The sequence below is a fragment of the Homo sapiens genome, chromosome 6 (genome assembly GCF_000001405.40).
Source record: "Homo sapiens chromosome 6, GRCh38.p14 Primary Assembly".
NCBI classification, from domain to species: domain Eukaryota; kingdom Metazoa; phylum Chordata; class Mammalia; order Primates; family Hominidae; genus Homo; species Homo sapiens.
Genome location: NC_000006.12, coordinates 80,013,451 through 80,037,098, shown reverse-complemented (window position 1 = coordinate 80,037,098; position 23,648 = coordinate 80,013,451). Strand labels below are relative to the sequence as shown.

At 35.6% G+C, this 23,648-nt stretch overlaps 1 protein-coding gene across 5 annotated transcripts in view; it reads right to left on the bottom strand.

The window, feature by feature from the left end:
• TTK (TTK protein kinase) overlaps positions 1–23,648 on the bottom strand; it is a 37,879-nt gene that overhangs the window by 5,429 nt on the left and 8,802 nt on the right. For 3 of the 5 annotated variants that reach the window (NM_001438341.1, NM_003318.5, XM_017011242.3), the window contains exons 10-17: positions 22,513–22,636; positions 14,627–14,775; positions 10,585–10,721; positions 9,088–9,214; positions 5,540–5,632; positions 1,957–2,114; positions 1,682–1,833; positions 500–624 (exon numbers count right to left, since the gene is read on the bottom strand). In NM_001438341.1, the coding sequence (NP_001425270.1) occupies positions 500–624; positions 1,682–1,833; positions 1,957–2,114; positions 5,540–5,632; positions 9,088–9,214; positions 10,585–10,721; positions 14,627–14,775; positions 22,513–22,636 (1,065 nt within the window). The remainder of the gene's footprint in view (positions 1–499; positions 625–1,681; positions 1,834–1,956; positions 2,115–5,539; positions 5,633–9,087; positions 9,215–10,584; positions 10,722–14,626; positions 14,776–22,512; positions 22,637–23,648) is intronic. The other 2 variants (NM_001166691.2, NM_001437890.1) reach the window with 1 other exon arrangement.

Genomic DNA, 23,648 nt, shown 5'->3' with positions numbered 1-23,648 from the left:
CTGTTGCAATATCTATTATAAAAATGTTGCTTATAATACTTATGGCATTTACAATATGAAGGCCCACTTAAGAATTTTTTTTCCAATTTCAGTGATAGGAAAAGGTCGGCTTCTCTAGAAGAATAAAAATGATCTTACCTCATAGACAGTGAAAAACATATAACTGCAACTCCCTCTTTGCTACAAGGAAACTCTGAGCCAAATTTTCAGGTCAATTTTTGATCACGACCAAGTGATTTCCAAGGAAGGTATTACTGTTTCTCTACTTCAGCTATAGGAAAACCATTCACAATTGCTGGAGATATTACTATTTGATCTTGACTTTCTATTCTACATTACAATGATCATGGTTTATATTTTTAAATCTATTCTTATTAAAAGACTTCAAATCCTTTGAAGAATGAGGTGATTAAAAATATAACACTCATTTGCAATATAATACTTCACAGGTAAAAAAAGAATTGAACTCTACTGTGAGAGAACCAACATTAAGTCTTACCTGAGAATCTTTAACAACACTTGTTGTATCTGGTTGCATTTGGTTTGCAATCCCAAAATCAATTAGCTTTAGCATTCCATCAACTATCAGAAAGTTAGCTGGTTTAAGATCACTGTGAACAATGCCTTTAAAATAAAAATCCACTGTAATATTAAACAATGCAAAACATTCTAAGGACCAAAAAATTCACAGTCTACAGGTCAAGCTGTATTTATTCCTTCAATTAGTGAACCCAATTCAATAATTTTTTTATATATTCTGCAAATATTTACATAGCACTTGTTATGTGCCAGGCACTGTTCTAAGTTCATTGTTTATACAGTACTGCATCATTTAATCTTCACATCAATGCTGAAGTATTATCATCATCCCCACTATAAGGCAAGGAAGCTAAGGCAATGAGAGTTTAAGTAACTTGTACAAGGTCACACAGCCTAAGTGACAGTTAGAATTGAAGCCAGACAGTCTGGCTTCAGAATCTATCCTCTTAACCACTGTGATTCACTGCCCACTAGAGAGCATCACAAATTATACTGCCAGACAGTAAGACCCTAATGCTCCTGACATCTCCACCCCTATAGCCCTGATCTTGATCACTGGTGAATTATCTTTTAAGATAATTTAAGAGAGAGAGATGAGGAGGAGATAAATTACAATTAACTAGGATAACAGTTATTAAGAACAAAAAAATATATAGGATAAGGTAAAGGCAGAGAAAAACCCTAAAAAGAACCAAGGACAAGTAAAAACCAACCCAGAAGGTAGGCCTAACAGTAAAAAACAAACAAAAAAACCAACTTCTCACACAGGGCATACAATACAAAATGATTAGGAGAATGAATAAAGTAAACATCTCATATTTTCAGGATGCCTGAACCCCAAAGTCTTAGACCTGCTATAATCCAAGTATTTGGAGATAAGGATGACAGACTACGTTAATACTGAGAAAAATACATTTTGTATTACAGATGTCGGAACTTGAGTTGATGTCCTATATCCTTTGGGTTAACGGTGTTTTAAGAAATGGTTTTGTTCCTTTATCTTTAAATAAACTTCTAATTATTTAGTTGATCTCGTTAAAGACACCAATAACCAATGCCCTAAAATTATAGGTATATTTCTCTAAGATGACACTATTAACAAAGATTTTAACCTTACAAATATAAAAAAACTGTTAAATACCATGTTGATGGATTGTGTGAACTGCCTCTAACATATTTTTCCAGTAACTCTTGCGTTCCCATGGATCAATGGATTTTTTCTTTTTAAGCCAACTATTAAGATCAATATTTCCACACTCCATTACCATGTAGATGTACTGGTCCGTGATTTCACTGCAATTAAACAAATAAAAGCAACAAAACAATAAATGGCTAGGTTATATTAAAGTTTACTAAATATTTACCTGAAGAATTATGGCAAAAAGTTTTCTTTTTAAATTTAAAAAGAATTCTTACTAATCATAAAGTCGGATGATCTTATCACTGTGTTGTTGTAGTTTATTCAAATAAGCTATTTCGTTCCGGTAACTATCAAGAGTTTGGTTATCTGCTTCTTCTAAGTTCACATATTTTATAGCATATATCTGTTTCTTTTCATTTAACACCTGAAATACCTACAGAGTAGAACAAAGAGAAGTTTAGAATATACTATTTATACACTATCACACAATGATTCTAAATTTATTAGGATTTTAGGTTGAGAAAATTCTAAAGGAAATACTGACATGAACATTAAAAGTTTCTGGGCCTATTTTGAGTGTAGAAGGAAGAAAAATAATTCTGATAGCAGAGTAACAGTCCATTCCCAATGACCTATGATGATGGGCATTCAATAATTTAAAGGTATAAATCTAAAGTTTCTATATCAACATGTAAGAAAAGTTTAAACTTCAGATATATATAACAATCTGTTGGATGCCCTAAACAGGGAAACAGCATAAAGAAAAAGACTTTCCAAAATGTTAAGGACAAGCCTGGTGCAGTAGTTTGCTCCTTTAATCCCAACTACTCAGAAGGCTGAGGTGGGACAATTGCTTGAGCCCAGCAGTTTGAGTCCAGCCTCGGCAAAATAGTGAGACACGGTCTCAAGGAAAAATAAAAAAGTTAAGGATGACTAAAGGCTATGATACAGAGTCAATTCAATTCACAGATGTTGTTTTCTCTATTGTGCCTAGATTTAGCAATTTTTGCATGAATGAGTTTATTATTGCCCCCACTGTCTCTGTTCTGGCAAAACTCTTGCAATCCGGTTTAGGTAAGCCTTATTTCAGTTTCATAGAGATAGTGTCAGAGTTGTGATTTGTTAGTTTTATGGGAAGTTACCAGTGTCTTGACCATTCTCATTACCCCATGACTGTTCTAGATACTCTCAATAGCCTCCTTAAAAGTTGGTCACTGCCTAAACTCTGAAACAGGCAAAGCATAAATGGTATTAGTTTCATAAAGCATGTTACTTTCTTTGAGGCATTTGATTTTTTTCAACTCTATCATAATTAACTTAAATGATAATTTAATTGAATTCAGAAAATATGGGCCAGCCATTGCTTTATCACTTGGCCCTTGACTTAAGTAAGCTTACACCTTCATTATACTCCAAGGAAAAAAATGTTAAAATGCCATTAAGACTACTCTACATTCTCTGAAAACATACAAGTAAATAAATACCTCTATTAAGTCTCAATACCTTGATACTACTAAAATATAGCCAAAAAACAAATAAATAATAAATATTAACCAAGTAATTTCTACGAAAGCAATTAAATTAGGTAATTCAAATAGATTGATAAAAGGAAATGTATAATGAAACCAATATTTATTGAAGAGTTGATACACATGGTAATGCACATACCTTATTTTTGGTAAGTTAATAAGACAGCCTTATGCAATTCTAATTATTGTTAGTGGGATTAGGAAATTACAGTAAAACTTAAAATGAGTCCAACAATGTCTGTTTAATGTGTCATCCTTAACAACTTACAATAGCAAAAGAGCTGAGGACAGACAGTTTACTCAATTCAACTAATAAATTCAATCCCTATCTGTTCTAGGTACTGTTCTGGATGCAGGGGCTAATATCACTGAGCAAATCAGAAAAACATCCCTATCTTCATGGAGCTCACATTCAAGTGCAGAGGGACACAAACAACAAACCAAATAAGTAAATTACAGAACATGTTAGAAGGTAAGATACAGAGAAAAACAAACCGGTGGGGAATGGAGAACACTGGTGATTGAAAGGTGGGAGTTGAAGTTTTACAGTGTGGGCAAGGAAGGCCTAACTGAGAAGACACATGAGGATATCTAGAGGAAAATAGGATGTCATGTTAAAATAAGCCAGGAGGAACTGAAATAGGCTAAATACAGAAAGACAAATACCTCATGTTCTCACTTATATGCGAAATCTAAAAATTAAACTCATAGAGCAGAGCTCATACTACCTTTGACAATGGTGGTTACCAAAGGCTGGAGGTTGAGAGAAATGGGGAGATGTTGGTGAAGGGATACAAAGCCTCAAATAGGAGAAACAAGTTTGATTTTTTTTAGATGATTAGCATAGCATGCTGAAAATAATAATTGGATATTATACATTTCAATATTGCAGAGAGTCAATTGCTAATGTTCTCATTACACACAAATAATTGAGGTAATAGATGTTAATTAGCTTAATCATTTCATATTGTATTTAAAAAGCTAATACCACTTTGTACCCCATAAAAATATACAACTCTAATTTGTCAATATACAATTTAAAAAAATAGACCAGGAGGGCAAGGACTGAGTAAATGAATTCCTTTAGGAGGCTATTAAAGTAATTTAGGTGAAAATACAAAAGTTGCCTTGACCAAAATAATAATGCTGGAGATGTGAGAAATAGATTCTAGAGATACTTTGAAGTAGAACTAACAAGATCTGCTGATTGGCTAGATATGTGTATGAGAGTAAGAGGCACCAATTTTTTGTTCAATCAACTGGAAGAATGAAGCTGCCATTTACTCAAATGGGAAAAGCTATGGAGCAAGAGTTGTGTTTGGACATATTGTTTTAAATGCCTGGTAGACACTAAGAAGCGATGTTGAATATACAAGTCTGGAATTCAAAGGAGAGGTATGAGCTGGAAATACAAGTTTGGGAATTGTCAGCATACACATGTTATTTGAAACCACAAGATTGAAAGAGAACACCAATGAATGAGTTTAAGAAAAAGATGAAAGAATGCTGAGGACTAAGCCCGGAGCAGTGCTTCACTGAGATCAGTAACACGAAGAAGACAATAGGTATGGACAGTTTGAGAAGAGAAAAACACAAACCAAGTGCGGAAAAAAGCTTCACTGCGAAAAAAAAAATCAGTTGTCCCAAATGCTAAGTAATCCAAAATCTAAGCTAAGAATTAGATTTGGCAAAAAAATGGAGGTCATTAGTGTTCTTGATTACAGTTATTCTGGTGAGTGATGAAGGCAAAAATCTAATGGAAGTAGATTTAATTGAATGACAATTAATGATGGTAAATTTAGATAATGCTTAAGATGCCTTCTATCCAGAGATGTAAAACGATATAAATTTAGAACTCAGGTAAATTTAGAAAATAATCTAATTCCAGAAATTCATTTGTTACTGAATTCTGTTTCTGAAATGAATAACTCAAAAGAAAACAAAATCCATTAGTAAAAATCCTTGCTGAATGATTCTAAACATATTAGCAATTTACATCACATTCTGACTCAGAAATTTCTGATTCTTTTGTGATAATACATAGTGGTCATTCGCTACCCCATGTCAATGTTTTTGTTATTAAAGAAGAAGTTTAGAAGCACAGGACATTGAAAGGAAAGGCAGAAGACTGGGAATAAGAGATCTAAAGAGGATATGTCACATGTGAGGGGCAGCGGGAAGAGAAAGGCAGGTGTTAAGATGGCTTTTTGGCTCAAGGGCAGCATCGCCCCTAGAAGTAAAGGAAAAGCAGCCCTCACAGGTAAAAAGACAAAAAAACAGAAAGTTTAAAATATTTTTATTTATTTCGTAAATATTTTAAGATACTTACCTTGCTTGAACCTCCACTTCCTATCTGCTTTAATATGGAATAAATTCTTCCTTTAACCGAAATGCATTCATTTGCTGAAGAAGATGCTAAAACCTAAATAAGTAAAATATATAAATAAAAGTTAATCAATATACCTAAGAAACTAGCTTACATTTGGTACAGTCAACTGCTCCCCATTTTGAAATTATCTTAAATCTTAATTAGAAATGTTACAATATTTTTAAAAGGACTTGCTCTACTTAATCAAAGAAAAAAAACCTTAAAAAATAATGTAGACAAACTTCCAAGGTCTCCCCCTTTAACTAGTTTTGACTTAAAAAGAAAATTTAAGGAGGAAAAAACCACTTAATATGCAATCTGCAAACTTATAAGCTTAAAAATATATATAAAAATAAAATATAAAATTATATTTTTCATTTTTCTTTTCTATTCTTTTTCCTTATACCTCTTTACTTACATATGTACATATACACACACATAATTATAGCTGCATTCTTTTCTTTTTTTTTTTTTTTGAGACAGCATCTCACTCTGCCTCCCAGACTGGACTGCAGTGGCATGATCTCGGCTCACTGCACCCTCTGCCTCCCAGGATCAAGCGATTCTTCTCCTCAGCCTCCCGAGTAGCTGGGATTACAGGCATGCCACTACCATCCGGCTATATCTGTATTCTTCTTTCTCATTTAGCGTTATATTATAAAGGAAGCAATGTGCTAAGGTGCTAAGAGCTCCAAAGTCAATGAGACAAATGCAAATTTCAGCAATGTCCCTGATATGGTTTGGATCTGTCAAATTTCATGTCAAATTGTAATTCCCAATGTTGGAGGCGGGGCCTGGTGAGAGGTGACTGAATCATGGGGGTAGATTTCCTCCTCAGTGCTTCTCTGAGAGTTCTCAAGAGATCTGGTCATTTAAAAGTATGTGGCATCTGCCCCCAACTCTCTCTCTCCCTCCCACTCCAGCCATGTGACATTTGCTCCCTTTCACCTTCTGCCATGATTGAAAGTTTCCTGAGGCCTCCCCAGAAGCCAACCAGATTGCCAGCATCATGCCTACTGTACAGCCTGTGGAACCATTAGCCAATTAAACCTCTTTTCTTTATAGCAGTGTAAGAACTCATTAATACAGCCCCCAACTTTGTCCTGAGTGATGTTCAACAAGTTACTTAATTTTTCAGAACCTCAGCGTCTTCCCCAGCAAACTTTCAGTTGATGTACTATACAACCAGCCCCATCATTCCTTCCCTTATATTGGAGGATCTCTCTGTGTACCTATAAATGCTTTGAACAGATGGAGTGCTGAGAGGACTTATTCTGAGCTGATAAAGAAGGTGAAACAAAAAGACCTCCTGATTAGCTGATTAACCAAGTTAAACAAGGTCTGAATAAACCTCAATTTAACTAAGGCCTGCTTTAGGTTCCAAATGGTAGAATCTCTCATGTAATCTCCTATTTAAATAAAAAGATAAGTATTCTAATTTTTTCACCTCTAGGATTGAGATACATTGTCTATATATATTTCCTGTAACAAAGTATTGGGCTTCTAAACATGTATGTGTTGTAATTTCATCAAGGTTTCCCCACTCCTCCTTTTGTGCCTTCTCTGTCTTCTTCCTTTCATATTTAAAACTGTGAACATTGCCAAGGGAAGAAAGCAGTTCAATGTCCTTTCTCCACGGCTGCTGACAGTTTTTAGAATAAAGTAATTCTTATTTCTGACTCAACACTAATGTGAACTCTGGTTTCCTCCACAGGACTTCCCGCATCCCCCTTAGTATGCCCTACTCACTGTGGTTAGAGTTTCCAAAATGCAAATTGGATCATTTCACTTCCCTGCTTCAACCTCTTCCAAAGCTTCCCACCCTCTTAGGGTAAAACTTAAGGGCCCAGCAAACCTTGGGCCTCACTCCTTCCCCTTCCTGACCTCTAGCCACACTGTGGCCTCGTTTCAGTTCTCTTCTGACACTGGCCTCTTCTAGAAGGCTCCACCAAGCCCCTTCACTTGTCATCTGTGACTCGTCTTCTGGATTGCAACTCAAACAGGGCCTGACACTAGTAATAGCTAAATAAATGTGTTTTGAATCAATGCATGAACAAACTGGATCATTTTTGTTTTTCCTTTGTAATTTATTATATTGTTTCAATCCTTAAAACACTATCACCTCTTTCCAGTTAGTATCTACTGTCAGCTCATTATTTTGTCCATTATTCTTTCAAACTGTGCAAATTATACATAATGCAAAATTTACCACTTTAACCATTTTTAGGTACAATTCAGTGGCATTAAGTACATTCAGTATGTGATGATGAAAAAGTTCTGGTGATGGATGGTGGTGCAAATACCACTGAAACTCTATACCCATTAAACAGTAACTCCCCATTCTTCCTCCCTTCCCTGACAACCACTGTTCTTATTCTGTCAGCTAATTTTTTTATCAGTTGATTTTTATAGTTAATTACTCATGGGTTTTTTATTGTTTTATTTAAATAACAATTGCTACTAACATTTCTGATTTACTAAGTGTCATGCTCTGTATTAGGAGTTACGTCTATATTAACTAATTTAATCTTCACAACCATCCTAGGAGGTAGTTAGCTTTACTAATTTTATAGATAATGAAATGGGCACCGAAAATTTAGGTAACTTGCAAAAGATCACACAGACTGTAAGTAGTGAGGCTAAGATTCATGCCCAGTGTCTCCAAGGCCCATGTTTTCTACCAGTATTAAGCTGCCTCTAGGACAGTTACTAGAAACCAACTTTTGCCTCATCAGCAAAAAATCTTTCCTCTTAGTTTAGTTATTAGTATAATACATTCTAGCAGTACCTCATATTGCTATTCTGATATTTTTGAAAATTTACATTTCCAAATGAATTGTATACTAACAAACAAAATGAAGCTGCTCACTAGCAGCTGACAAAACACAACAAAAAGTAACGCTGGCCAGGCGCAGTGGCTCATGCCTGTAACCCCAGAACTTTGGGGGGCTGAGGCGGGCGGATGGTTTGAGGCCAGGAGTTTGAGACCAGCCTGAGCAACATGGTGAAACCCTGTCTCTAGTAAAAATACAAAAATTAGCCAGGTGTGGTGGTGCGTGCCTGTAATCTCAGCTACTCGGGAGGCTAAGGCACGAGAATCGCTTGAACCTGGGAAGCAGAGGTTGTAGTCACCCGAGATCGCGCCACTGCACTCCAGCTTGGGCAATAGAGCGAGACTCTGTCTCAAAAAATAAATAAATAAATAAATAAATAAATAAATAAAAATAAAAAATAAAAGGTAACCTTGATTCATAAGAGAAATTTTATCCAGCTATTCAAACTGGATCCTTTGGCCTAGTTATTAAGAGTAGCTTCGTAAGCTTCTTCAATAACCAACCTCTCAAAGCCACAAGGCACACTCTTATTAGAATATCAGAAAAGTTTTGTCTAGTGGAAATAAGAATGGCCAAGTTCTTAAGACCTTTCTTGATAACTAGATGCTATAAAAATAAAAGCTGTAAAACGGACTGTATCTTAACATATACCATCATATATAAAGCTTATCGAACCTGTAAATTTTGAAGTGGAGTGGCAAGTATTTGATGCTGTTGCTGCTGGAAACAGGCAGGTTGGCCATAAGGTGTTGACAACTGACAAGCAGGTGGAAAGTCATTCTTTACAACTGGAGTTCTAAAACTAGGAAATATATATATATTTTTATTTAAAACATTACAATTTAACAAATAAGTCTGATTCAGTTTCATGTATTTTAGACTGATATAAACTTAAAAGTGTTACATCAAACAGAACCCAAGTTAGTTTTCATGATATAGCTGACACTTATTCCAGATATGCCACCACCGGATATTTAATTTTGGGGAATTCTTTCTGAAAGTAAATATTTGTATGCAGACAAGAAATCTTTGTTTGAAAAGATGGCATTTAAAATACAAAGTGGTTAGGGTTATTTTATATGAATTTAGCAAACATCAGCTTGTGGCCGGCCATAGATTTTGAGTTTTTTTTTAAACAATAATGTTCTATAATGGCTTGCTAGAAATATCAGAAAGCCAATTACATCACAGGAGTTTGGCCTTTGAGCTTAAATCTGTCCAGTATACATTTGTGCTTTGTTTGCCTTTTTGCTATTAATATATCCTCAACACCTAGAACAATGCTTGGCACAAAAGAGCTCCACAAATATTTGTTAACAATAATTAACCTAGTATCACAAGAAATATCTATTATCGCTATTTTAGTTAGCAATCATTCTTTAGAATATTCTACATATAATAAAATGAGGCAATATATAGTAAAACTATATTAAGTAGGTAAGAGGCTGGGTTATAAAATCTTTAAGACCAGTTCTAATTAAGATCAAGGATTACATTATGAAAATGAAACGCAAAAGACAACACGGATTTAAGCTATCCCCTAAGACATTAAAGATATAGCCACCGGTTGATGGTTATAATGTATCGCATCCCTTTATTTCCTTTCTCTGAAATGTCATTCATTTTCTTTTGTAGTATCCCTTGTGTTCCCTATCAGCACACTCATCATCGAACTTCTTCACTTATCCATCATTCCTATTCACTCAAATACTACACCTTTGAATACCTCCAGAACTACATGAACTGTAAAAACCAATCTCTTCCAGAAGCTATCACTTTCCAATTAACACCACTTATGTGAAAAAATTCATCTACTCTTTATCTGCTCTAAGAATGCTAACCTTTAAAATCTCTCTCTTAATAGAGAGATATCTGTATGGCAATACATGATTATCAAGACGTTTTACATCCTTAGAATATTTATAGGTTGTAGGTACAGATTACGATATGACAGAAACTACATGCACAACAATCCTTAAAAATATGCATTATTGCAACCACTTCCCCCTTTCCATTTTATAGATGAAAACACTGATGCTGAAAAAATAATATGAAGATGGAAAGTCTTTAAAGTAAAAGAGCAGGATTTAATCCCAGATTTATTTGGCCCAGAAGCCCATGTTAATTCTATCATACCACCCTGCCAATCAAGCAAGGGGCCAAAGTAATTACCAGCTCATGTAATCATCCAAGGTATTGCTGCTTGGTGTCTTACAAATAGATTTTGGGTCAAACCATTTAGATGTTGATATTGGTGGTGACTGTTTTGAAACTGAAAAGACAGGTTGCTCAAAAGTGGTATGTTTCTGCTAAAACAAAATAAAGAACACCATGATTTAGTTTTTAAATTAGTTGCCTGTTCACTAGTTTTTACAAATATTATAACTTTTAAAATAAAATAATAACATATGATATACAAAGGCATACTAAAAGAGATAGGCATATATATACATTTTAGACTTTCAATAATTTTTTTAGTGTAGTTATTTTACTCCAAATTCTTAAGCCTAGTGCATTCTGCTCAAACTGATGGCAAGTACAGGGAAGGCACACAAAATTACTTAAAACAGAATTTAACATTCTCTTCCATCAGAGCTATTGTAACAAGTATTAAATTCTTATCATCTAAAATAGTATCCTGTGTTTCTGAAAATCAGCCTTTCTTTAATCAATAAAACTCTATTCCCTTCTCCTCAAATGTAGACAAATACTAATTACTTAGCAAAATGTGGAATGACAAATGCCTATCTTGTGTCCTCCATAAGAAGAGACAGAACCTGTAGAAATTCTTTTTCCAAAAGCATTGTTGGGAAAAAAAAAAAAAAAAGAACCTATAGGATTCATCCTATACAAACCCCAAACAATGATGAAGGAACATCCGCTGCAGCAGAAATCAGCAAATTACAGCCTACAGGCTCAGGCTGAATGTGGCCTGCTGCCTGCCTATTTTTGTAAACAAAGTTTTATTAGAATATGGCTATGCCAATTTGTTTACATATTGTCTATGGCTTTTATTTTCATGCTCTAATGGCAGAGGTGAAAAGCTACAACAGAGCCCATCTAGCCTGGAAAGCCTGCTAACCCTTTACATAAAGTTTGCTAACCCCTGCTGTAGCACATCTCAATTAAATAGAGAACCAAGTTTTGCTTGAATACTTTTAGTAACTAAGCACTCACTAGTCTACAGAGGTTCACTTCAATTTCAGGACAGCTTTAGTTATTAGAAAATATTTGCAGATAATTTGGATTATATTGGTTTATCTATTATAATTTCAACACACTGGTCCTCATTACGCACTTGAGAATTACAATGACTAAATCTATCCTACTTTCTACATTTCAGTCTTGGCCAAGAAATTTTTTTTCCAGGATAAATTTTCCCTCTCATTTAAGACTTCGTGTGTCTGTGCTCACGTACAAGCACGCACATATTTTAAGATTAGTGGTAAAGATGTTACTGAGGAACTGCTGTAATAAGATTAATGAACAAGGAAAATGAAAAAGATCACGATCATAGAGTGGAATGTTAGCATCTGCGATTTTGGAGGTCAGAATTGAGGATATAAGGAGTAGGTGGCTAAAGTAAAATTAAGGAAATGGTCATGAGACACGAAGAAGTTAGAAAAATGAAGGCCAGCTGTAGGACTGGTAATACACAGGGGTGTAGAAGCCAACAAAAACAATGACAGTTGTTGGGATCTGGTTGATCCAGAGCCTTGTATCTTCAAGGAATGATGGGGAGTTACCAGGACATTCAGAGATGAGAGTAAGTCAGAAGTATCAAAAGAGCAGGCCTTTTGCAAGAAAGAGGAAGAAATGGTCTGGACACAGAACAGAGAGCACACAGCCATATGGTAAGTGAGATGTGAGACAAAAACAATCCTCCCTTGAAGGGACTGCTGGACAAGCAGTATCCACAAGAAACTGCCTAGATTCTATACTTTTTCTTTCTACGTGTACTATTCAATGGTTTTTAGTTGCTCAGTGGTTCACAGCTGTGCAACCATCACCACAATCCAATTTTAGAATATTTTCGTCTTCTAAAAAGAAAACTCACACCCATTAGCAATCACTCCCCACTCCCCACTGCTCCCAGCCCCTGGCAACCACTAATCTACTTTCCACCTCTATGGATTTGCCTATTCTGACCATTTTATCTAAATGGGATCATAAAATATATGGGCTTTTGTGGTGAGCTTCTTTCACTTAGCACGTTGTAAATGTTCACTTATGTTGTAACATGTACTAGTACTTCATTACTGTTTATTGTTGATTAACATTCCATTGTATGGATGTACCACATTTTCTTTATCCATTCATCGGTTGGATATTTTGTTATTTCCACTTTTTGGCAATTATGAAAATGCTGCTATGAATATTTATGTACAAATATTTGTGTGGATGTATGTTTTCAATTCTCTTAACTACAAACCTAGGAGTGGAATTATTGGATCATATAAAGCTACGTTTAACCTTTTGAAGAACTCCCAGACTCTTATCCAAAATGACTGCACCATTTTACATTCCCACTAGCAGCATATGAAGGTTCTAAAATTCTCCACATCCTTGCCAACACTTGTTATTGTCTCTTGAATTACAGCCGTCCTAGTGGGTGTGAAGTAGTATCTAATTATGGTTTTGCTTTGCATTTCTTTAATGATCCATATGGTTTTCAGTTCCCTTACAATCCTATTAGTGTACAATTTTCAAATAGAAAAAAAAGAGGAGATGCTGGTTTGATACAATCTATGACTCAACCTATCAGGATCCTTATCATCTAGCATTTGTTATCTACATCTACTACTTAAGAGATCTTACTATGACAATATTTACCTTTCTCACTTTTATTTTCTCATGAGTATATAAGGAGTTTTCCAGAGACTGTATGACATGTAATAATGAAATACATTGAATGCAAAAGCAGACATAAGAATCTAGTCTTCTGTTAAGCCAATCATTAGATTTGTAAAAACTCTAACACAGTGCTACTCTTCCCACTGTAGTTATTTTGTTTCAGAAAATACATATTTTTCATAAAAGTACATTTATATTCACATGAGTTTATCAGTTATTTTATTTCATTTTATTTTTTTTGAGACAGAGTCTCGCTCTGTCACCCAGGCCGGAGTGCAGTGGCATGATATCTGCTCACTGCAAGCTCCGCCTCCTGGGTTCACACCATTCTCCTGCCTCAGCCTCCCAAGTAGCTGGGACTACAGGCGCCCACCACCACACCCGGCTAATTTTTTGTATTTTTAGTAGAGACAGGGTTTCACCATGTTAGCCAAGATGGTCTCGATCTCCTGACCTCGTGATCTGCCCGCCTTGGCCTCCCAAAGTGCTGGGATTACAGGCGTGAGCCATCGTGCCCAGCCCTCAGTTATTTTTAATAAATTAATAAACATTTTTAAAGTTTCTTGGCTTTACTTCCTAATATAGTAAATAGAGATAGATATAATCAACATAAACAAAAGCTCTTTAGGGGCACTGATAATTAAGAGTATAAAAGGCCAAATGTTTGAGAACCACTGAATTAATAAAGCCTTTACTATATTTACTACAAGTCACTGAAAAGAAATGGTAAGGAAACTATGGCCATGAACTGCAGCTATAGCTCTTTAGTATCCTACTTGATCATTCCTTCCGAAAAGCCACCAGGAATGATGACTCAGTATGTTACAAATTCATGTACGTTGTCTAGGCTATATTTTTCTATTTTTATCAATGAGTATGACCACAGGAAACTGTTAAGTGCTTGGGACAGCACTGCGCTAGTTCAGAGATCAGCATACAGTTTTCGGTAAAGGACCAGATAGTAAACATTTTAAACTTTGCAGGCCAAGTGGTCTCTAATACAACTAATCAACTCTGCTCTTATAATGCAAAAGCAGCCATAGACATTAAATGAATGAGTGTGTCAGTGTTCCAGTAAGTCTTTATTTACACAATCAGGCTAAGAACTAGATTTGGCCCATAGCACCAGTCTATCGGCAATCTAGAAACACTATCGAAGATAGAAAATAATTTAGCCTGACTTACTGAACGTATGACTGCTACTGATCACCACTTTATAAATGATTTTAAAAACCTTTAAATAAACTATTCTACTAAATATCATACACATTTAATAAAAGAAAACATTTAATATGATCATCAACCTTCGGAAATGCATTATGAACAAAAAAGCAATATTGTACTTTAGTGGAAAAGTTACCTCTGTATTAACTTTTCGGGCTAACTCCGGAATCTGCCAGTGATTTGAAGATGCAGCAGGATTCTGGTTAATACACTCTGACTTTCTCTTAGATTGCCACTGTTTCTGGTTACTCTCTGGAACCTCTGGTTCTTGATACTCTTTAGTTTCTGAAATTGTATTTGTTGTCATTAAAAAGCAAGAATATTTGATCATAATAAACTAAGCCTAAACAACAGAACATATTACAAACTATATGAGTATTTAGTTCTTAAAAACAATCAAGGAGGGAGAGAAACTAAAAGCTTTAAGCCAGCTGCTTAACAATTTGCTTTTAGCAAGTCAATTTCACAAAGTTGCACTATAGTCATCTTCCTACATTGTTACTAAGAACTTTGTCAGAGACCTTGCCACATTTAAATGCTTCTTTACCAATAAATAAGTAAAAATTTAAAAACATATAGATGTTATAAAGTCTTACTAATAGAGAAGCTAATTCATCACTTTTCATAGACCGAGTATCCAACCCTCAAAATGCAATTTAGAACATTTTTTTTTCCTTTTTGCTTTCAGCCTGGAAGCATACTTTGAAACCCTTAGTTTCTCCCTTTCCCACCAGGCATGTCCATGAACAGTGTTCACTTATCTAATTACGTACTTGCTTAGAAATTTCAGGGGCCAGTTTTGAAACAAACCAAGCAGAGATGGAGTTGCAGACTCCTCTTGCATGGGGGGAGTTTCGAACAGTTAGCCTAGCATTACCCAGCTGAAGTCAAGATGACACAAACCATACCTCCAGATGGGCAATTACTCAATATAACTATCACAACAAGACATTCAGACCTGCACCACTCCTGCATCTCTTCCACACCTTTTCCTTTTTAAACCCCTTCACTCAGCCCAAAAAGTTGAAATGGTCTTTTGAGGGCATGAGCCTGGCCAGTCCCCAGCTGCTAGCATTTGATTAATAAAACTGTTTTCCTTCCACCACACCTCACTTCTCATGTTTTTGGCCTCTGTGTTGTGAAGAGCCGGACTTGAGTCAGTTACAAATGTGGTGCCCTGTGTGAGGAACTGTGTGTTTTGAGGGGCTCAGCCTGTACGCCTGGTTTCCAACAAGTGGAGCAATTGGCTGTGGGAGCAGGCCAAGGCTCACCCACTCAGGCTACCAGGCCAACGCAGGAGCCACTTGCAAATGCCAGCTGCTCATGGCTAGCTGACCCTGCAGCTGGGACCTTAAGGAACTCCCAGCAGCTAGGGAGACCACCCTTGTCTGAAGGATTTTTCCTTCCCTTCCCTTTGTGGCATCAGCTGCTGTAACACTCAGTTAGTGAAAGGGAAGTGGCATCTTGGAGGTCAACAGAATTCAAGGGTTGGATAAATTAACCAGAGTGTACTGGGAAATCCTCCATCTTAGCCATCTGCACTTTCTAGTTATCTGGACCTAGTATAGGTCATCTGTGGTGCCATTTGGGTCTCTTTGCCATCTGGACCCAATGCAGGTCACTCTGCAGTGCTGTCTGGATTTGAGACAAGATCTCAGGACTTTTCTCCAGTCTCCCCTTCTTGGGGATGGGTTTGGAATGCTCCATCTGCATTGGATCCGCCTGTATTTGTGTCTCTGTTTAGCGTTATCCCTCTTTCCAAGGGTGCTTTGAAACTGTCTCCGTCCCGCCCAGCAAGACTAGAAAGCAGCAAGATAGGCTGCTCCTCTCCCCGCTAGGGAAGAAATGGTTTCCAACAACCTGGCCTCTGATTTTTGTCATCCTCTTTTGGACTCCAGAATATTTCTTGTATCTGCGTCAAGCTTTGTTAGGGGAGAAAGCATGTGAGCTCTTTCCTGGACTATCTGGGACTCCAGCTGGTTACACATTATGGCCCGTTTTTCTGCACATTTTAAAACTATGGGCAAATTCCAGTAAGAAAAATTCAGAGCTCAAATGGTTAATCTTTAACTACAAAATTAAACAGTCTTCTAAAGCTAGCTCTCTATTTTCTCTTTTCTTTTCTGCCTGCTTTGAATGTGCTGTTATTAAGCTAGTTGAGTTGAGATAAAACTCACTGTTTTATCTCACTTGGAGATTTTGTTTTTTTATTTTTCTTATACAGGTCAGCCAGTTATGATTATAACAGAATCATTAGTAACTCATTTGAAACTGAAGAAAAAAGGGGAAAAAAAGGATAAAAGAGGTTTTTAAAACGAAATTGCCATAGAGACTTTTTTACCCAAATTTTGGTTGACAGCTTTCCTTAGATTACCTATCAGGGCAAACAAGGTTTAGCCATGTGAACAGGTTCCAATTTCATCAGAAAAATAATTAGGATCAGCTGTCTTTTATAAAGTGGTGAGTTTGTATTGTCATCTTATGGCTAGATTCTGAGGTAAAAGCTATTGGATCTTTGTGCCTGTATGTATACATGTTTAGACATGTTTATATGTACATACATGTATATGTTGAATCTAGCATGCTACCAAATTGGCTTATAAGTAAATGAGTACTCATAAATTAAGTAAGTCCTAATGCTTTTCAAGTTCATATGAATCTTTGGTAAATAAAAGTGATTTTAAAATTATTAATAAAAATAAAATGTCTTTAGAATTATCAGCATACATTTTTGTCTGAGTTTATTGACCAAATGGTTTTATATTTGTCTATGTCTATATATTAAGATGTCAGGGTTTGACATCAAGGTTATAAGACTATAAACACAGTCAAAAACAGACTAATCTTTGTGTGATTTTTTTTGACAAGTAAGACTAATTTAATTTAGATTGGTGGTTCAATGAAAACAGCTCAATCTTCTGAGTTATCGGCAAAATATATTTAACTCTAAGATTCTTACTTAGGTTGTTTACCTGTTACTCAGACTGTAAAAATGGTTAACAGGGAAACAACTTCAAATAATGACTAGCTTTGTATAACATTTCAGTTTTCAGAAGTAATCTAGAAAAACTTAAAAATGGAAAAAGCTCAGGGCATGTAAATGAGATAAATGCCTGTAGTGGACTTTCAAATTATTTTGAATTAAATAATTGATGCTTATGAGATGTCTGGGTCATTTCCAATTAAGAAAAAATTATCTTATGGGAAAGCATGTTTCAGAAATTACAGAATAGTCTTTTGAAAGTAAGAGCCTGGGCATTCTCCAACTGCTAGCATTTGGTTAATAAAATTGCTTTCCTTTCATCACACCTCATTTCTTGTCTTTTTTGCCTCTGAGTAGCAAGCAGCCGGACTTAAGTCAGTTACAAGACCTCTAGTTTAACATAAAAATTTCACCTTATGCTAGTTTGTAATTTATTCTCTCAAAGGGTCTATAAACAAAACGCCTCAACAATATATTTAACATTCTACAAATACACAGTTCCACTCCTTTCATTATAATGGATACAAAAGTCCTAAACGAAATATTAGCAATTGATAGACAAAGGAGATAAAAAATTATATCCAAATTGGGCTTATTCCTAAATGCAAAGTTTGATTAACATTTGAAAGTCAATGTAATTTGCCATAATAACAGAATAGAGACGGAAAATATATAATTAACTAAATAGATGCAGAAAAAACATCTGATAAAATTCAACACCCAGTCACACAAAAAAAACTATTATTAGTAGCCTCAGTATAAAACAGAACTTACTCAATCTGACAAAAAGTAGGGACAAAACTCTACAGTAATGATCATACTAAGGATAAAATATTGACAGCTTTCCCTTAAAATAAGGAATGAGACAAGAATGGCACCTATCATCCCTTTCTATTCACTGTTATACTGGAGGTCATAGCAATTATAACAAGGCATAGAAAAGAAAGTTAAAAGGATTCAAAAGGAAAAAAGCTATATTTTTTTTTTTTTTTTTTTTTTGAGACGGAGTCTCGCTCTATTGCCCAGGCTGCTGGAGTGTAATGGCAGGATCTCAGCTCACTGCAACTTCCGCCTCCCAGGTTCAAGCGATTCTCCTGCCTCAGCTTCCCGATTAGCTGGGATTACAGGCACCTGCCACCACACCCGGCTAATTTTTTTTTTTTTGTATTTTTAGCAGAGATGGGGTTTCACCACACTGGCCAGGCTAGTTTCGAACTCCTGACCTCAGGCAATCTGCCTGCCTCGGCCTCCCAAAGTGCTGGGATTACAGGTGTGAGCCACCGTGCCCGGCCAGCTATACTATTTTCAAACATAACTGTGTACCTGTAAAAATCCAAAAAATGCATGGAAAACTATTAGAATTACTCAGTAAATTTAGCAATGCATAAATAAGTAAAAATCAATTATATTTTTTATAAACTAACAACAAAGTTTTTTTTTTTTGAGACAAGGTCTTCTTCTGTCACCCAGGCTGGAGTGCAGTGGCATGATCATGTGATCATGGCTCATTGCAGTCTCGACCTCCTGGGCTCAAGTGATCCTTTCACCTCAGCCTCCTGCATAGCTGGGACCACAGGTACATACCACCACACCCAGCTAACTTTTCTGTAGACAAGGTTTCCCTTTGTTGCTCAGGCTAGAAAAGGTTTTTAAAAAGATACCATTCACTATCACAGCATCAAAAAATATCAAGAATATCTGATCAGCATTAAAAAAATATTCAAGAATAAACCTAGCAAAAGATACACTAGGTCTCTACACAGAAAATAATTATCTCATTACTTTAAATGAATGAAAAGATATGCTAGGTTATTGAGCTGTAAAACTTAATTGTAAAGATGTCAGTTTCTCCCAAATTTCTTTATAGGTTCAGTTAAATATCAATCACAATCCCATGTTTTAAAAGTGGTAACCAAAAGATAGATTCTAGTGTTTATATGGAAATCCAAAGGCCAGGAATAGCCAAAATAGTCGTGAATTTTCAACAAAGTTGAAAAATTTACACTGACAGATATCAAGACTTAGTGCAGCTACTAAGAGAGCATTAGGCCTGGTGTGATAGCTCACACTTGTAATCCCAGCACTTTGGGAAGCTGAGGTGGGCAGATTGCTTGAACTCAGGAGTTTGAGACCAGCCTGGGCAACATAGCAAGACTCCATCTCTACAAAAAAACTAAAAATTAGCCGGGCATGGTGGCACATGCCTAGAAGTCCCAGCTACTTAGGAGGCTGAGGTAGAAGGATCACTTGTGCCCAGGAGGCGGAGGTTGCAATGAGCTGTGATTGCACCACTGCACTGCAATCTGGGTGACAGAGCAAGACCCTGTCTCAAAAAAAGAAAAAGACAAAAATGAATATAGAACAGAAAAGAATCCAAAGCCAGACACCATACATAGAATCACCTAATTTACAACAGGTCAGTGAGGTAAAGGAGGATCTTTTCAATAAATGGTGCCAGGTCACCTGGATATCCATTATGGGGAAAAATAATGAACCCTGACACTTGATCTTACACATATGTAAACATTAAACTCAGGAAAGATATAAATCAGAAGGTGAAAAGTAAAATGATAAATCTAAAAAATATGGAAATATCTTGCCTGATGGCAGGATATAAATCTTTCCTTACTGGAGACAACACTTGCTTTTTGGCCCAGAAAGCACTAGCAGGCACCAGAGGAATCTGGAAATAGATTTTACTAGTTTTCCACATTTTCCTGCTTTTAAAGATTGGAACTGTTCTCTCCTTTGTCTTGCCAATATTTAAGATTTATGGCTCTTTGTTAAAATACCATTTAAGCAAATCCACTGCTTGGAGAGAAAGAAATACTTCTGAACTGAACCCGCCCAGGTGATGGGTAGAGCACATGTTAACAAACTTCTGCTTGTTTTTCTATTGTTAATCGTTCTTGCATTTTCAGGAGAGTGTCTCAGCTAAGAAACTAAAAAGGGAAAGAAAAATAATTATGCGTTTTCCCTTACAAACACATATTCCAACAAATGATTTATATCTAGATCATATAAATACCTCTTAAAAATCAATGAGAAAAAGAAAGAAAAACCAACAGAAATATTAGCAAGACTGCAACCTGGGTGACAGAGTTGCAGTATGTTACAAGAGAGTATCCACATGGCCAATAAATATATGAAATGATGTTCAAAAGTAGACATTAAGGAAATGCAAAATGCAAATTAAAACCACAACGAGGTAGATACCACTAGATAGCATCAGAATGCCTAAAATTAAAAGCCAATACAATGATTGCAAAGAACAGGAGCAGGAGCAACATAATTGCTGGTCTAAGGTTAGCACAACCACTTTTCAGACTGTTTGGCACCATCTTCCAAAGCTGAACACATGCATATCCTGTAACCCAACAATCCCACTCTTGGAATACACTCAATAGAAATTTGTACATATGTGAATCAAAAGACACCAAAATATTCATAGCAGCATTATTCATTAGACAAAAAACTGTTATCCATGTACATGTGAATAAACAAATTATACTATATTTACACTAGTTAAATAGTATACGGCAATAAAAATCAACAGACTATATATCATAAAAACATGGATGAGTTCCATAAACAACAGTGAGTAAGCAAATACAAGAATACACACTGTATTATTTCATTCTGTGGTGTTAGAAATCAGAATAATGATTACATCTGGAAGGAGAGAGGTATTTAGGAGGAGGATCAAGGAGGTTATTGAGGTGTTAGTAATGTTGTATTTTTTGATCTGGCTATTGGTTACAAGTATGCAGTCACTTGTGTTATTTCATTGTGCAGCACTCTTGTGATTTGGGCAGTGTTCTGACTATATGCTTTATTATATTAATAAAGTATTACTGGTATAGTGTAGACAACAAGCATTCATTTAAAACATTAAATTAGGTATTGAGAGTACTATTAACAAGCATATTTGATAAAGATGATTTTCTCAATCATACCAGTTACAATAGATGCCAAGAAAATATGAAATGTAAACACTTTCCACCAAACGCTAGGAATAAGAATCTGTTCCCAACCAAAATAATGTTTTTTTGTGTGTGTCCCCGTTTGCCTGGGACTGAGGCATTCTTGGGATATTGGACTTTCAGCAAAGTCCCTGGCAAAGGCAAGCCTCACTTTGTCCCAAAGTCCCTCCTCAGTCCTATTAAAACAAATTAAAAATTAATACATCCAATCTGGCAACCTCTATCTGGACAATGATCATCCTATTAATGATCTGTTTAAATATCTTTAATGGTACCCTGCATTCTAAAAATAAATAAAAAATCTAATAGCATTCAAAGTCCGCCTAGTCTTATTTCCTATTTGCACACTACCCATGTTACAGTCTGCAGCATAACTAGACAGTCTCTTGTTCCTGAAACATTTTACTCGTTGTCTGTGTTATCCTCTTCATCTGAAATACTCTATTATTTCCCATTTAAATCCTAATTTGTTTCTTCAAACTTCACCATCATCACAAAATATTTCCTTATTTCTCCTAAACCAAATTAGTTCCTTAATTTCTCCCTCTTCTGAATTCTCATAGCATTTCATTTATGTGGCTCTCATGACAATCTCCACATTCTATTCAGCATTGCATTTATATATCTCTGTGTATCTTCCACACTGAACTGCAACCTCCTTGGGACACTGTTTTATCCACTTATATATCCCTAGAACATGTATCACAGTACCCATGCAGTAGAAAACCAAACGCTTGATAAAAGATGAGAGCTGTCATATAAAAACAGCTTTTGTATCCCTTCCAGAAAGTATTTGTCAAGCCAACTGAGAAAAAAAACTCAGTTCCATTGCATTTTCCCTCCACTCTTTCTTTTATGCACCTTTTAGGTAAATAAATTTCCTTTGCTGCGGATTCAGTACTTTTCATATACCCTATATAACTGAACGGAAATTCAAGATAAAAGAACATAGACACAGTTTCACATCATAATTCTTAGGTGGCTAGTCTGCTTTCTTAAGCTATCAAGTGGTTTTCTTAACTAAACATACAAGTCTACTGATTTTGTTACTCTTACCTTCTAATTTAGCTAGAAGACTTGATTCCGTTTTATTCTTCAGGGTTATTGAATCAGTAATAATAAGTTCAGAACTCTTTTCATCTGACACCAGAGGTTCCTTGAAATGACTATTTTGAACAGACTACATGAAAAAGAAAATCAAATAAAGTCCCATAAATAGTAGTACTACTAATCTGTCTTACTGTTCAATATACTAAAGTCTTATCTATACATGGATTGCTCATAAAATTTTCTATTATAATTATATGTAGACTCACAAACCCCCAGCAAAGGTTAACTGCCTGAATTATTAATTAGAGAAATGGGAAGGGTCATAACCATAAATCTGGCCAATTTGCTTTCAGTGGATGTATTAATCAATTGCTAAAATATATTTCACTTAAAGATGGAAAGGGTTAGAAAGTTTGAATTCAACATAGAGTATGCCTCATGACAAGAAAAAAGATTTAAGTATTTTGTTACTGTGATGGCTATTTTATCACCAAAAATAAGTCAAAACTAGTAACTGCATAACTTAAGAGAGTAGTTACTCTAAATCCAGAGAACAATCTTTTTGACACAATTATGCACTGTTCTCTAGGACAGCCAGGATTAGGAAAAATTAATACTTAAAGCATAGGTCATGAAAGAGGGAGGCATTACAAAGAACATAAAATTGAAAAGACCCACATCATGATGCCAGGGGTTTAACTCAATTATAATAATAGTATAACCACTAAAAATCACAGTGTACCAGGAACTAAAATTATTTCCTTTAAGTCCACACAAAGTTGCTCTGCCATGTCAGGAGGTCAGGATTATTTATGTCCTCACCTCTGCCCTAACTCAATTTACTCTCTCATTTTTTTTTAAGATGTCTTACCAAAATCATATGATTAAACATAACAAAAAACAAAACTTGGGGGCAACAGTTCCCCCAGTCACGTATTCCCAAACCCAGGCCAACTATCTGCTTAAACACGTGCATAATAAATATTACTTCATGATTCTCTTAAAAGATTGTTGATCCTTGCTCTACCACCTTAATCTTGGAGAAACATAGTCTAGGACTTCTGCACCAACTTCCCACTCGTAGTCCCACAGCTCTTGGGGTATGTGGAACACTGTTGGAGATACATGAACTATTTATAAAC